A 14,213-nucleotide genomic window follows, 5' to 3' on the forward strand; every position below is an offset into this window, starting at 1 on the left:
GTACGTACTGGCACTCTGCGGATTACAGACTCACTGACAACTTCATGGATTCATAGATCAAGTTTTGTTACATTGATCCAAGGTGAAGGCACGCCACAGCAGGTTACTTGTGGCCTTGTTACTGTCTGTAACTCCCTGAGTTACAGATGAAAGTTCAGCTAAAGATGAAAAGGGCTCCAGGCGGGGCAGGAAAGGTAGCATCGTGAGGCCAGCATCTCACCTATGGCATTTTGACCTAAAAGAGCTGTATCAACAGAGGTAAAGTGACCCATACATTTACCTTGGGGTTAGACAGCTTCTAGTTCCTTGGACTATCTGGAACCATGTCTCTTTCTGAAGGTGCCACATGCAGTGAGGAACCTGCCCTGGCAGAGGAACTCGTGTTCATCCTCTGAGGCCCCTTCGTTTCCAACTGAGCCATGTGCTTAGCAGTTGGGGGTTTCCTACTAATTTTTCGGAGAATGTTATTGTTTGAAAAGTGCTCTCCACAGAGCATGTGATTAGATCTTTTTGTTACTTGGGTGAGAATCTAGAGCTCCTGTCTTGCCTTGACAGCTAATATTCATGCCCATCTATTGTGGTCCTGTTTCCAAAGAGGAACACACAACAGAGTTTCTGTGCAGTGAAACCTGTGTCAGACCTAAAGGAGGCAAGGGCTGCTGAGGAGCTTGAAATGACCCTTAAAAGATATCAAGGAGAAGAGTTGTCTTCATACTCTCTTCTATCTGTCTGTCCATCTGTCTATTCATCCATTCATCCATCCAGCATTCAGAGCAGGTCTCCCATATTTTAATGAAGGGAACCTCATTTTTATTTCCCCAAGATCTAGAGATTAGGAAGAGTGCAGACAGTGCTGAACGGCTAAAAAGAAACGATTCACAGCGAGGTTCTCCTTCCTTCCTTATGGGAAACCAACAAATCATAGCCAGATAGGCTGGACTGTCTACAGAGAAAGACTTCACATGTGGCAGGCTGGGGATTCCCTGCCTCCCAGTCCAGCTTAGTGCAGATTAGGGGATGCAATTTAGCCTATACGTGACCTTCTATGACCTCGCAGCATCCTTGGCAATTCGTTCTTTCCTGTTTCCTGAAAACAAAGGCCTTGAGTGTCCCTGCAAGCCCTGTTCCTTGTGTAGGCAACTGGGATCCTATCTCTGGGGTGGGTGCAACTCATCCTTCTTTTCTGAATAGTGTTAAAGTTGAATTTAGAATGTCGTGATTGTTAGTAATAGCATTACTAATGTTCCAAGGCCCTCGGAAAGGTCCCAACAATATGTCTTCCTTTCAAGTTGATTCTCTTGGTACCCCATTCCCACCCCCAATGTGGTGGCTGAGTTGGAAGAGGCCCAGCATCTTCCAAGCACAGCTCCCTGCCCCACAGTTCCTCCCTCGCACCTACTGAGGTTCTGAGCTGTCAGCCCCCCAGTATTGAAACTCAAAAAATTAGGGAACATGATAACGCATTCTGCCCTAATATTGTCCTTTTAATGTCTAATTATCATTGTAGACAAAGTGGCTTGAACTTAGGCTTTCATCCTAGAAGCTTTACCACTTTTACTGTTTCTATACTTTTGTAGCTAATAAGTCAAATGTAGAACAAAGAGAAGGCTGCATTTGTTCAGGAAACTGTAAATCTGTCCCATTTGATCACAATCCTGTTGAAAGGAAGAAGCCTTACGAGGACAGTGTGTTTGCTACAATGCTGAGCCGTGACAGCTGCAGCAGCGGCTCCTGGAGCACAGGGCTGCTGGCATGGGCTCACCACCCTCACAGCCATTTGTCTGGCGGCTTGTATTCAGATGTATTTGTTCAGTAATCCAAAAATGGAAGGGTGATTTGGAACCTTGAGCAGCAGGCTGGGGATGGCTGTGAATTCTGCTTTGCACTTGCCCACTACATCAACACGCCAAGAAACTCACCTGCCCCATCCCAGTGCATTCTGAACATTTCTTATTTTTATCTTCTTACCAACCTTCTCTCTTAAAATCAGCTTCATTAAAATGGATTTTTCTAGAGTAACCACCAGATCACCTCCCCCACTCTCAGTCCGTTTTCCAGTCAAACCATTTGTTACTTGATTCAGTTCCAAATATAATGTGTGTCTGCTACTGTTAAGTCATTGCCTTATAGTCAACCTCAAGGGTAGTCATAAACTCCAAGAGTTTCACGTGTCTGACTATATTCTTAGGAGATTGATGGGTTACATTTTTCTCCTCGATAGTGGTCATGGGGGAAATGTGTTAATTTTTCACTTTAGATGTTTGTGAAATGTTGGGGAGAGTGAGGGGTTTGTTCTTAAGTGGTGGGCCATTGACCCAAAGTATTTTTAATTCCTTTTTTAGGCTGCATTTGATGCCAGAAGGCAAACACAACCTGCATTTGCGTTTTGCAGATGAATTCAACAAGTTAGCAGAAGACTTCCTACAATGAGAATGCACACTCCAGTCTTGGTGGTTCCTTCGTGTGGGGCTTGATCGTGTTGCTGCCTGTTAACATGATGCCTTTGAAACTCTCCGCCTTTGAAACTTTCTACCCCTCCCTTCAATCTTATCCTAACCAAATGAGAATAATGACATATTGAAAACAGCCTCTAGCTTCAGGCTGGGCACGGTGGCTCACAGCTATAATCTCAGCACTTTGGGAGGCTGAGGTGGGAGAATTGCCTGAGCCCAGGAGTTCAAGACCAGCTTGTGCAATATAGGGAGACTCCGGCTCTACAAAAAAGAGTTTTTCAAAATTAGCCAGGCGAAGTGGCACACATCTGTGGTCCCAGGTGCTCAGGAAGCTGAGGTGGGAGGATCACTTGAGCCCAATTCAAAGCTGCAGTGAGCTGTAATTGCATCACTGCACTCCAACCTGGGCAACAGAGTAAGACCTTGTCTTAAAAAAAAATAAAAACATAAAAAAAAATAAAAAAGGAATAAAGCCTCTAACTTCAATAGCTATGAAAATTAAATCCGATTTTCTAAGATGAAGTTGTGACAAGTTATACCATTGTCTTAACAGGTGAATTCCTGCCATAATTTATTTTCAAATAAATTTTAGGTGGAGAATGTGTAGTGTTAATGTTGGAGATTTTAAGACATCTTGAATTTGTACTGTACCTTTTATCTGAGAGGTTCAAGCTTCACTTGTGTTTTTATTTGTGTTTATCTATCATATTCAAAGAGAAGTAGGGAGAGTCCGTGCCCGAGGTCCTCAATTCTAAGATCAGAGGATGTCCAGAACAGCAGCAGATAGGGGCAGGTTTGCTTTACCCCATATCCCTCTCCTGGTTCACTTTTGAGAGATGAATACTTTGGGCCAGTAAAGGTGAACAAAATATGTATTTTCATCACTCTGTACTAAAAGGACAGGAATGTTATTAATTAAAACACTAAAGCAGAAATCCTACATTGCTATTAAAATTAAACTTTGATTACCACAATAAAAACAGTAGCAAGTTAAACCTTGACACTTTATACTTAAGCATTTAGAGAAAGAATAAAAATTATTTGAAGTGAGAACACAGACCACAAGGTTTTCTACACATGCTTTTTTATTAGTATAGATACCTTCACAGACAATACTGTAATTTTTAGAGGAGTTCCACATCATTACATCAACAGTGTGAATTTCTAACAGAGGCAAAACTGAGCACCATAGTTTACAAGTAGAAAGACCATGCTTGAGGACAACAGAAGTTCACTAAGGATGCACGATTGATCTGAGAAGTTTTTAAGCCTCGTCCTCGCCCTCCTCCTCCTCGAACTCCCCTTGTTCGTCGGCCGTGGCGTCCTGGTACTGCTGGTACTCGGACACCAGGTCGTTCATGTTGCTCTCGGCCTCGGTGAACTCCATCTCGTCCATGCCCTCGCCCGTGTACCAGTGCAGGAAGGCCTTGCGCCGGAACATGGCCGTGAACTGCTCGGAGATGCGCTTGAACAGCTCCTGGATGGCCGTGCTGTTGCCGATGAAGGTGGCCGACATCTTCAGGCCGCGGGGCGGGATGTCGCACACGGCCGTCTTCACGTTGTTGGGGATCCACTCCACGAAGTAGCTGCTGTTCTTGTTCTGCACGTTGAGCATCTGCTCGTCCACCTCCTTCATGGACATGCGGCCCCGGAAGATGGCAGCCACCGTCAGGTAGCGGCCGTGGCGCGGGTCGCAGGCGGCCATCATGTTCTTGGAGTCGAACATCTGCTGGGTGAGCTCGGGCACCGTGAGCGCCCGGTACTGCTGGCTGCCCCGGCTGGTCAGGGGCGCGAAGCCGGGCATGAAGAAGTGCAGGCGAGGGAAGGGCACCATGTTCACCGCCAGCTTGCGCAGGTCTGCGTTCAGCTGGCCCGGGAAGCGCAGGCAGGTGGTGACCCCGCTCATGGTGGCCGACACCAGGTGGTTGAGGTCCCCGTAGGTGGGGGTGGTCAGCTTCAGGGTGCGGAAGCAGATGTCATACAGGGCCTCGTTATCAATGGAGTAGGTTTCATCTGTGTTTTCCACCAGCTGGTGGACAGAGAGGGTGGCGTTGTAGGGCTCCACCACCGTGTCTGACACCTTGGGTGAGGGCATGACGCTGAAGGTGTTCATGATGCGGTCTGGGTACTCTTCCCGGATCTTGCTGATGAGCAGGGTGCCCATCCCGGACCCCGTGCCGCCCCCCAGAGAGTGGGTCAGCTGGAAGCCCTGGAGACAGTCACAGCTCTCTGACTCCTTCCTCACCACATCCAGGACCGAGTCGACCAGCTCGGCTCCCTCTGTGTAGTGGCCCTTGGCCCAGTTATTCCCGGCTCCACTCTGGCCTGCCAGAGGGAAAGTGAACATTAGACACTAAAACATAAGGAATTTCAAAATCTGTCATTTTGACTATGGAGGAGAAGGTAGGACTGGTCTTAGACTGGCAGATTCTTCTCTTTTGAATACTCTTCTTTTACCTGAAGAAATATTTTTCTATGTCAGTGACCTCAAAAACACTGGGGATCATAATAAAGTAAGAAGTAAGTTTAGCTCATCTGAGGCTATTGATTGAGGAAGAGGATAGGGTTAGAAAACTTAATTGGTTCTGAAATACATACATTTTTAAGAGGCATTCTCTTTATACTCAACTACAATTAAACAGGCAAGGTGAAGGCAGTGTGACCAGCAGAGAAGGTGGCCTCAGCATCTGTCTAGCTCTGGTCATAACCTGTGCTTTTGGCCCCTGGCTCTTTGAAGTCCTTTCAAGTTGCCTATAGCCTATGAAGCCTGGCTTGAAGCTTTTCCTTGCTCTTTCTTCCTTCCAGTCTGAGGCTGCTCTGCAATGGGAGGGCTGCAGCAGCCCTCTGCAGGCTGGCGTTGATCTGTGAGCCATGACCACCCATGGACTGCATGGAGCTAGGCCAGGACTCAGGGCTGCCGTGGACACAGTGTCACCTTGGCACTGAACACTAAGAACTGTGCTTTGCAGGGCTGTTAGGAAGAAGGTGTGTCATTTGGCCAGTTCCCAGTGATCATGACTACATACCGAACACGAAGTTGTCTGGTCTGAAGATCTGGCCGAAGGGTCCAGACCTGACAGAGTCCATGGTGCCAGGCTCCAGATCCACCAGGATGGCCCGAGGTACATATTTGTTACCTGCAGGAAATAAGAACTGACTCAGGCCTGTGCTTGGGGAGGGACTCACAGCAGCATTCAATTCCAGCATCTGAGACAAAAGGAGAACAGGAGATTTTCTGCTTTTAAGAAAAAGGAGGTCCTGAGTGTGCTTAGCCGTGGCAAACAGGCAGGAATCTTAGGAAACCATAAAACATGTTTTTCCAGCAGTTGGCATTTGAAATGAATATGCAAGAAGCATGCCTTTGTCACGTGCATGTTCCTGGGACGTTTCATCTCCCACATCATGGAAAGCAAGGATTCCTGGGCACACACATCCCGCTACTCACCAGCAGCCTCATTGTAGTACACGTTGATTCTCTCCAGCTGCAAGTCACTGTCTCCATGGTAACTGCCTGTGGGGTCGATCCCATGCTCATCGCTGATGACCTCCCAAAACTGAAATGAAAAAAGAACCACACCATGGCTCTGCATCCTGAATGTCACTAAGGATGGCCTTGTCCTCCTCCCATGTCCTTGGAACAGGGGCTTTTGTGGTCAGACAGTTAGTAAGTGCTAGACAGAGAGCAAAGAGCTGCACCCCCTATTTCCTGCAGCAGCCGCTGCTGAGGGGCTTGAAAATCCGCAGAGCATCGGCCATATTATGGGGATAGACTGAAAGGCTGGGAGGGGCCCTGGAGGAGGAGGGGACACAGCAGATGCCCTTCTAGGGAGAGGGTGGGGAGAGTAGAGAAGTGGAGAAGGGGTACAGGGAGGCTGTGTCACCCCAGGCAGGGCTGAATGCCATTGCATCCGGGATGATTGATGGGTCGTGGCAGGCCAAGGACAGGGGGACCCACTCTGTGGCTGCCTCCAGGGATCAAGCTCTCTTGGCACAGATCCCAGGCACTCCTGCAACAGTGCAGGTTTAAGCCACCGATCTACATGCTGGCACTGACCACCGGAGGGACTGGGCGAAGGGCAGCAGGAGCCTGGGAGGGCACCTGGGCGGCAGTGGAAGGAGCTGGCCATCGTGAGGGCGCTGGCTGCATTGTGAATTTGCGGCGGGGAGGCTGGGTGGGCAACATGGCGGTTCTCAAAGAGACCACGTCCTTGTACTGGCGCCCGCCCCCACCCATGCACCAGACCCGCTGCTGCCTCCCACACAGCGGTCGGTAATTGCAGCCCCCACCCAGCGCAGTCACCTGCCGCCTCGGGGACTGGCAGCAAGACTATCGCGTTGTATGTCATCATGTCAAGACAGTGCCCGAGCAAGGGAATTTATCTAACACCCTTGCCTGTACGACCCAAAGGGACGCCTCTGTTACATCTGCCAGTCCAGTGACACTGCATGTTTTCATTCAAACCGTAGAGAAAAATATACAAATTAAATTCACATGAAGCTAGCGCAATAAATATGACCGTACCCCCGACCCAAGTTTCTGAGACAAATACACCCAGGGGAATGCCAACCGCGTCCCGCAGAAGGGCTGTGTCCCAGGGAAATCGAAAGGCCCCCGATTAAACGCACACACAGCTGCGGCGCTGCGGGCATCCTGGCGGGTCATGCAGCCTCCCGGACCCCGCCCGGCGGCCTCGCCGCGGAATGTGCCACCCGGCCAGCCCGGGGCCGCCGCGGCCTCCAGCCCCCGCCCCGGCCCCAGCCCGCACCCTCGGTCCCAACCCCGGGCCCCTCCGTGGCGGTGAGCCCACCTTGGCGCCGATCTGGTTGCCGCACTGGCCCGCCTGGATGTGCACGATCTCGCGCATGGTGCCGGCTGCGGAGCGGGTGGCGCTGGCCCTCGGAGCGGTGCGCGGCGTGGACCGGCGGGCTGGGCTGCGCAGAGACCTGCCGCCGCCCCCCCAGCTCGGTCTTTTATACCCGGGGACCCGCCCTGCCCGGTGACGTCATGACGGGCGGGGCTGTGGCCGCGGGGGCGGTGCGGCTGGGACTGCGGCACCGCGAGGGGGAGCCGGGGCGCGGTGCGAGGTGTGGGGGCGCTCGCCCTATTGCTGCTGCCGCTGGGTCTAGGGTGGGCGGCCGGCCTCGCGGTCCGGCGGTGAGTGCGGTGCCCGGGCCTCGGGCCCAGCCGCAGCCCCCTGCCCGATCCACGGGCACGGGCGACCCCTGGCGCTGGGTCCTCCGCTCACGCCGCGATCCCCACCCCGAGCCGCCCACTCTGGACCCCCGAGGGGGGCTGGGGACCGGGGGCCCCGGAACCAGGGGGAGGGGCTGCCTCGGAACAGGGTCCTCGCCTCCTAAGGACGGGAAGAGGCGTCGAGTACCCTTTGGAGTAGGGGGCCGGAAATTGAAGACCCATTTGCAGTGGGCTCTCCAGCGGGTGGCAAAGGTTTCCCGCATCCTGGGCAGGGTCCTGGACGCCGTTTGTGGGGGTGGGGTGGGCAGCGTGGAGAGGAGTGGGGGGCCGCGGGGAGCCGACGGGCAGCTGCCTGAAAGGAATGCCAGGATGGCGGGGTGGGCGGCCTTTCGCCCCTGCAGGGGAGGAAGATGGCTTGGTCGGGGGCGGGGGTTGGGGGGGCTATCAAAGGGCTGGATTTGTCACATGTCCGCTTTGGGCTCCTGCGTCCTTGTAAAGGCCTTTTAAATGTGGAAAATTCTGCGGGTGTGTGTGTGTGTGTGTGTGTGTGTGTGTGTGTGTGTCAGAGAGGAAAGACAGGAGGAATATATCTGCCACGTTGATGTGTCAGCTGATGGCCCTGCCCCTTACACCCCTTAGGTCGCCTGATCCTCACAGAAGCTGTCGGAGCTAGGCTGGCCAGTTCGGTAGACCCTAGGCACGGTGGCTGCCGAGCATTGAAACGTAGGTAATCTGAACTGAGATGGGCTGTTAAGTGTGAAGAACACACTGGCTTTTATGGGCTCAGTAAGTTAAAATAATGTGAAATATTTCATTACTGATTCTTAAATATTGATGGTCTATCAAAATAATAGTGTTTTGGATACATTGTGTTAAATGACTTGTTTTGAAATTAGAAAATGTAAAATTACATACTTGGTTTCCATTTGCTGCTCACTTACGCATATTTTTGTTGACTACCACCGGCTTCTGGTAAGCATTATTACTACCCCAATTTCATAGCTCCGAAAGCGAGGTTGAAAGACCTGACCAGCCACAAAGCTAGGAAGGGAAGGAATCTAAAGCCTTTGTATAAATAAAAAGCCCAGGTGAGTTTTAAAGGCTTGGGTGGGCTGTGGTAAGGACCTGACTTAATTATTCACAAAGATGGCCCTGCACGGTGGACTAGGTAACAGGGGCTTGGGGACTGCCTTTGGTTCCCAGCACATTCCAACTATATAATGATGATAATTACAGGTGCCTTGGAGCTGGCTTTGTGGTAGGAGATGAGAAGCCATATATGAAAGCACATTGAGTTTATGGAGTAAAAATGCCTTGGTAAAACCCAAGGTGATGGGCTGGGCGCGGTGGCTCACGCCTGTAATCCCAGCACTTTGGGAGGCTTAGGCGGGTGGATCACGAGGTCAGGAGATCGAGACCATCCTGGCTAACACGGTGAAACCCCGTCTCTACTAAAAATACAAAAAAATTAGCCGAGCCTGGTGGCAGGCATCTATAGTCCCAGCTACTCGGGAGGCTGAGGCAGGAGAATGGCGTGAACCCGGGAGGCGGAGCTTGCAGTGAGCCGAGATGGCGCCACTGCACTCCAGCCCAGGCGACAGAGCCAGACTGCGTCTCAATAAAAAACAACAACAAAAAACCCAAGATGATGCTGTCATTCCTAATGTGCACCCTACCTGCCACCTCAATAGTTGGTCTGTATCGGAGGTGGAAACTAAAGCCAGATGTCTGTGAGTAGCCTCTTAGGCCAAGTTAGGTCTTAATCACCCCAGCTTTAGGAAGCGCCCAGCATCCTCCCAGATGTAGGTAGGCAGGTGCCTAGTGCCTCTTCTCAGGGTGGGGACAGATTTCCTAGAATTTCTCCTCCTCTCTCCCCTCTCCCTGCTGCTGGGCCCCCAGTGGACAACCTGTCCCTCGGATGCTACTCCCAGGTACCCAGGGCTTGACCTCCACCTTCTCCCCACCCCCACCCCAACTCTCACATCTTGGCTCTTCACCACAGCCGGAGCCTTCCAGATCCTCTCCAGAGAATGGCTCTCCTTGGGGTACCTTCACTCATTACACAGTTCTGAAAAGATTTTTCCAGAGATAATTGCTTCTTGGCCTTTGTGTTTTAATTCAGCGTGAAATCTGAGGCCAAATAGGAGCAGAGGATGAGACCTGAAAGGGACAGCACTAGGGACACGGGGACCCCTAGCAGCTGGGCGTTTCCCGGCCTGTGGAGCATGTGCCCACTCTGCTGTTCCTAGCTCAGTCCTCCAGCAAGTCACTGCACCTCTCTGAGCTTCTCTGGAAATGGGTTTTTCTTACGTTGGGGAGCTGGGAGGCACTGTGCGTGAACTGGACATTAGTGAGCGCACAGAAAATAAATCCATGGCAGTGTTCACGGGCGCAGGCCAGGTACCTGATTGTCTGCTCTGGATCGCTGGCAGTGAATGTTCTGCCCAAGTCGGCCTTCTCCTGCCTGGCAGTTCACGCCCAGCCTACTTCTCTCTGACGCGCTCCTCCCTCGGTGCCGCCCGTGATGTGTGTTAGTATATAATCAGAGAAACTCACACGCGGAGTTTTAAATAATGCCTGCCCTGCCTAAGGTGACTCATCTGAGGCCGTGAGTTCCTGCTCTCCCCTCCCTCGCGGCAAGTGTAGATATCCCCAACCCCACCTCGCTGTCACTAAGCAACTCGACCTTGTACAGCACCGATGCAGATAATAACAGGAGGAAATAGAGCCTGCTAATTGTCCCCTTCCCTAGAATAGGTTTTTAAGGAGCAATCTCTCCCCTTTCATGTATTTTTCAGTGTCTAAAGAGGAGCAGCTCCACCGGCTGTTGGGTGGGCCGGGGATGGGGAAGGGGAAGAGGACCAACCTCCTCCAGCCTCAAGTCACTTCCTGCTTTAGACAGGATGCCACTCGCAGTGTCTGAGCCACCCCTACCCTGAAGGCATCATTGGCGGGGTGAGGGGCGGGGGGCGGGGAAGGGCAGGTGTAATGACAAAATTCAGACTAGAGAATGTGTTCCAGGTAGGAGGCTGAGCCACATCTGTCTTTCACAAAAGGACATAAGCTCTTACCCTTTTGCCTGCCCTTCCCGCCTGCTGCTTCAGAGGGCCCAACGAGAAGGGTCCTGGTGAGAATGTTCTAGTGAAACGTACCCTGTGAATATGTGGTGTTATGATGATATCGTTACTGTTCACTGATGCCATCTCTAAGGGTGACAGTCGTGATCTAGTTGAAATAGATTTAGTTGGTCCAAGTAAGAGAGTCCTGGAACTTCAAAAACACTAGTTTCCTCTGCAGAATGATGAAAACCCAAGGACCATCCCAGCAATACAATTGTCTAAATTTGTATGGTACAGTCTTGCATCCTGTTTGTGCCCTCAGAGAACTAGCCACACTCTCCGCTCCAACTTCTCTTTCCCATGAAACTCATCCAGTGCAGCCCCTGTCTGCTATTTTTTAAATAAAAGCATCTCTTTATGAAGATGGAAGAATTTTGTTCAAAGCATTTAAGGGGATGTAACCTTTTCAAAAGGTTACCTAAAATAAAAGTCTGAACTCCAATTAAATTTAATTTTAAAATATCAACCCCACCAAAGTTTACAATTTTTTTTTTTTTTTGCATCAGATGACTATAATAATACAGAGTAAATATATAGAAGATTTTTAGCCACTTTCTGGAATGGGCCATGCCCCAGAATGTGACATTCATATTACAAGTGTCGATCTGGGGCCTTTCAAAACTGAAGATGTCATTTTTTGTTTTTTTTTGAAATGGAGTCTCGACTAGGCTGGAGTGCAGTGGCATGATCTTCGCTCATTGCAACCTCTGCCTCCCAGGCTCAAGCGATCCTCTCGCTTTAGCCTGCCGAGTACCTGGGATTACAGGCGTGCACCACCATGCCTGATTAATTTTTGTATTTTTAGTAGAGGCAGCGTTTCACCATGTTGGCCAGGCTGGTCTCAAAGATGTTATTCTTGATGTCAAATTCTCATTAAGCTATAACCCCCCAAGTTTTTTTTAAATACATACAATGTACACAGCAATTATATATACATATATCTTATATACATATTTCCTGATTATAAAATTAGAAACACTTAGAAAGTACTAAAGAGCACAAGTGTATCCCCTGTTCTCGAGATTTTTTTAAATGCTTGATGTATTATATTCCTTTGTGTTTTTCCTATTCATGGGCTGTTTAGGTGTTTTTGTTCCTTTATAACTTTTTTTTTTTTGCCTTCAACATTAAGAGTGAAGAAATACTATATCTTCTTCTGCTATGACTTAGACATAATCTCACAAATTCTCAAAAATATGTAACCTACTCCCAACTGTCATTCTCCCCATAATCTGAGGTGTCCAGAGCATACCGAATTATCTACAGAGCAAACTCATCTCTGCTTCCCATGACTAAGGCCGTTTAGAGGACTCAGTGCCCTCCTGCCGCGTTCCCTGACTGTTGAAAAGCACAGGGCCTAGAGTTGATGGACTGGGTGCAAATCCTCACTGTCACTTCTTAGCTGTGTGACCTCGGCAAGTTACTTAACCTCTCTCTGCCTTAGTTGCCTCATCTGTAAAGTGACAGTAATAATAGTACCCGCTTCCTGGGGTTGTGATAAAGACTGAATGAATATGTGAAAGCACTCACAATACCACCTGCCCCACAGTGTTATATAAATATTAGCTATTATAACGGGTTAATCCCGTCCTCCCCCCACTCCCTCCCTCCCTCCCTTTTTTTCTCCCTCCTTCCCCTCCCTCCCTGGAGCTCTTCTGGAATCAGGACTCAACTCCAGAGCCACTTGCGAGGCTCCCATGCGGCGAGACTGCGGTCTCCGCTGGCCGCACGCTCTTCTGCATACAGCTCCGCACTACACTCCTCTCCCCTAATCCCGAGGCTGGCGCTGCAGAGTGAGCGAGCGCAGGATCGCTAAGCGCGAGCCGAGGCGCCATCGGAACACTCTTGCCCCCACCCAGACGTCGAGTCTGCAGGTCCAGGGCAGAGGGCGCTGGGCGGCGCCGGGAGGCGCGAGGCACCCGGGAGAGCCGGCTCCGTGGCTTCCTACTACCTGACCCCCTGACCACCTAGTTCTGGAGCCAGGCTTCTTCACCCTTCGCCAGGTCTGGGCTGCCAGGGACTCGGGGTGGGGCCGCCACGCTGCCTTCTCCTTCCGTCCGGAGCGCCGGGGCGCGCGACCCGCTCCGTTTCACGCTCTAGGCAAACGGTAGTTCGGGAAAGGCTGAGCTTCGCCCCCTCCCCGCGGTGAGAGCGCGGCGCGGCGGGGCGGGGCCTCCTGCGGGCGGGAGAGGCACCGGGGTCCAGGGGCCGCGGCGCAGGGGGAGGGCGGGGCTGTGCCCCCCGGAGGCCCTGCCCGCCCCGCCCCGCCCCGCCCCGCCCCAAGACCCGGGTTCCCCCTGGAGGCCGCCACCGCCCGTCCCTGCCCGTCGCCGGCAAGGCCTGAGCCTCTGTCTCAAGATCGGACGGCCTTTGCAGCGGGAGCACCAACCAACCCCACAAATTCATGAAATACTAGGCGGGAGATGCGCTCAAAATAGGACGTGCCTTTTGTTTTTTGTAGCTATAAGAGAATATCGAAGTACTTTTTTTTTTTTTTTTTTTTGAGATGGAGTCTTGGTCTGTCACCCAGGCTGGAGTGCGGTGGCGCAATTTGGGCTCACTGCAACCTCCGTCTCCGCCTAACAGCCCTGTCGTACAAAAATAACAATAGGGAACATCTGAATAGGGGGTGGGCTAATTTTGTTAAATTTACTTTTTGATGCCCCCACGTTTTGTTGCTAGTGTTAATGAAATGCCACCAATGGCTGGCTTAAATGTAGTGCTGCCAATGTATATATTCTGTGTCTCTTCTCAGTTAGGAAGAACATTTGTTACTTCCACTACCTAAAGTTTGCCCGGCATGGTCAGTTTTACCAGTAGTCACCACAAGCACACTGCTAATTAGTTTTCCAGACCTAAGGAAACGTTTGAGATCAGGATTGGGATGTGGGGGGTGTAGGGGGAGTAATGACCCCAAAATAAAAGGAAAATTGCAATAGTAAAATGAATGTTTATTTAAATGTCTACAGAATATATCATGTCAATTAGTCAAAGACAACTCAACTTTTATATTGTAATGTATAAATTATACTTAATGTAAAAAGTTAAAATAGAAAATGAAACATATCTAATATGATATGGGACAGTTCCTCCAAAAGAGTGCCAGCGACCTCCAGAGCTCGAGCTGGCTCCATTCATCACCCACTTTTAGTATCATTTTCTGGTTATCAAGAAATGAGTAGAAGTTTTTTTTGAGACCGAGTCTCACTGTGACCCCCAGGCTGGTACAATGGCTCGATCTCAGCTCATTGCAACCTCCACCTCCCGGGTTCAAGCTATTCTCCTGCTCCAGCCTCCCAAGTAGCTGGGACTATAGGCGCCCGCCACCACGCCCGGCTAATTTTTGTATTTTTAGTAGAGACAGGGTTTCACCATGTTGGCCAGGCTGGTCTTGAACTCCTGACCTCAAGTGATCTGCCTGCCTCGGCCTTCCAAAGTGCTGGGATT

General features: G+C 50.7%; 2 protein-coding genes and 1 long non-coding RNA gene across 7 annotated transcripts in view, besides 6 other annotated features; 2 read left to right on the forward strand and 1 right to left on the reverse strand.

Moving 5' to 3' along the window:
- BPHL (biphenyl hydrolase like) overlaps positions 1-3,433 on the forward strand; it is a 35,203-nt gene extending 31,770 nt beyond the window's left edge. For 3 of the 4 annotated variants that reach the window (NR_026648.2, NR_026649.2, NM_001302777.1), the window contains one exon: positions 2,343-3,053. Coding sequence is in view for 2 of the 4 variants with exons in the window: in NM_001302777.1 (NP_001289706.1) it covers positions 2,343-2,430 (88 nt within the window). In the remaining 2 variants the exon portion in view is untranslated. Of the gene's footprint in view, positions 1-2,342 lie in introns of all 4 variants that reach the window. The other variant, NM_004332.4, reaches the window with a different exon arrangement.
- TUBB2A (tubulin beta 2A class IIa) lies at positions 3,521-7,399 on the reverse strand. Of its 2 annotated transcripts, none has more exons than NM_001069.3 (4): positions 7,262-7,399; positions 5,899-6,007; positions 5,480-5,590; positions 3,521-4,778 (listed from the first exon to the last, which is right to left on the reverse strand). In NM_001069.3, exons 1-4 carry the CDS (start codon positions 7,316-7,318, stop codon positions 3,718-3,720), a joined length of 1,338 nt encoding a protein of 445 aa, NP_001060.1. In that variant the 5' UTR covers positions 7,319-7,399; the 3' UTR covers positions 3,521-3,717. The 2 variants fall into 2 exon arrangements, with proteins under 2 accessions (NP_001060.1, NP_001297244.1); NM_001310315.2 differs by having other exon boundaries at positions 3,521-4,910.
- Positions 7,281-7,740: a silencer, noted in NCBI's record as "silent region_16846". NCBI's record gives its function as "represses an Ori minimal core promoter by ATAC-STARR-seq in GM12878 lymphoblastoid cells {active_cell/tissue: GM12878}" and the evidence as "EXISTENCE:reporter gene assay evidence [ECO:0000049][PMID:35858748]".
- LOC105374889 (uncharacterized) lies at positions 7,556-9,291 on the forward strand. Its single transcript, XR_926395.3, has 2 exons — positions 7,556-7,608; positions 8,287-9,291. It is a non-coding gene; the product is annotated as an uncharacterized LOC105374889 (long non-coding RNA).
- Positions 10,003-10,597: a transcriptional cis regulatory region, noted in NCBI's record as "candidate enhancer chr6.177 targeted for multiplex CRISPR interference". NCBI's record gives its function as "positively regulates TUBB2A gene expression with high confidence in K562 cells {active_cell/tissue: K562}" and the evidence as "EXISTENCE:mutant phenotype evidence [ECO:0000015][PMID:30612741]".
- Positions 12,369-13,261: a transcriptional cis regulatory region, noted in NCBI's record as "candidate enhancer chr6.179 targeted for multiplex CRISPR interference". NCBI's record gives its function as "positively regulates TUBB2A gene expression with high confidence in K562 cells {active_cell/tissue: K562}" and the evidence as "EXISTENCE:mutant phenotype evidence [ECO:0000015][PMID:30612741]".
- Positions 12,427-13,237: an enhancer, noted in NCBI's record as "H3K27ac hESC enhancer chr6:3162806-3163616 (GRCh37/hg19 assembly coordinates)". NCBI's record gives its function as "activates a minimal SCP1, AML or CMV promoter by ChIP-STARR-seq in naive H9 embryonic stem cells {active_cell/tissue: H9 hESC(naive)}" and the evidence as "EXISTENCE:reporter gene assay evidence [ECO:0000049][PMID:30033119]".
- Positions 12,512-12,901: a silencer, noted in NCBI's record as "silent region_16847". NCBI's record gives its function as "represses an Ori minimal core promoter by ATAC-STARR-seq in GM12878 lymphoblastoid cells {active_cell/tissue: GM12878}" and the evidence as "EXISTENCE:reporter gene assay evidence [ECO:0000049][PMID:35858748]".
- Positions 12,992-13,051: a silencer, noted in NCBI's record as "silent region_16848". NCBI's record gives its function as "represses an Ori minimal core promoter by ATAC-STARR-seq in GM12878 lymphoblastoid cells {active_cell/tissue: GM12878}" and the evidence as "EXISTENCE:reporter gene assay evidence [ECO:0000049][PMID:35858748]".

Source organism: Homo sapiens, chromosome 6, assembly GCF_000001405.40.
Source record: "Homo sapiens chromosome 6, GRCh38.p14 Primary Assembly".
In the NCBI taxonomy this organism is placed as follows: Eukaryota; Metazoa; Chordata; class Mammalia; order Primates; family Hominidae; genus Homo; species Homo sapiens.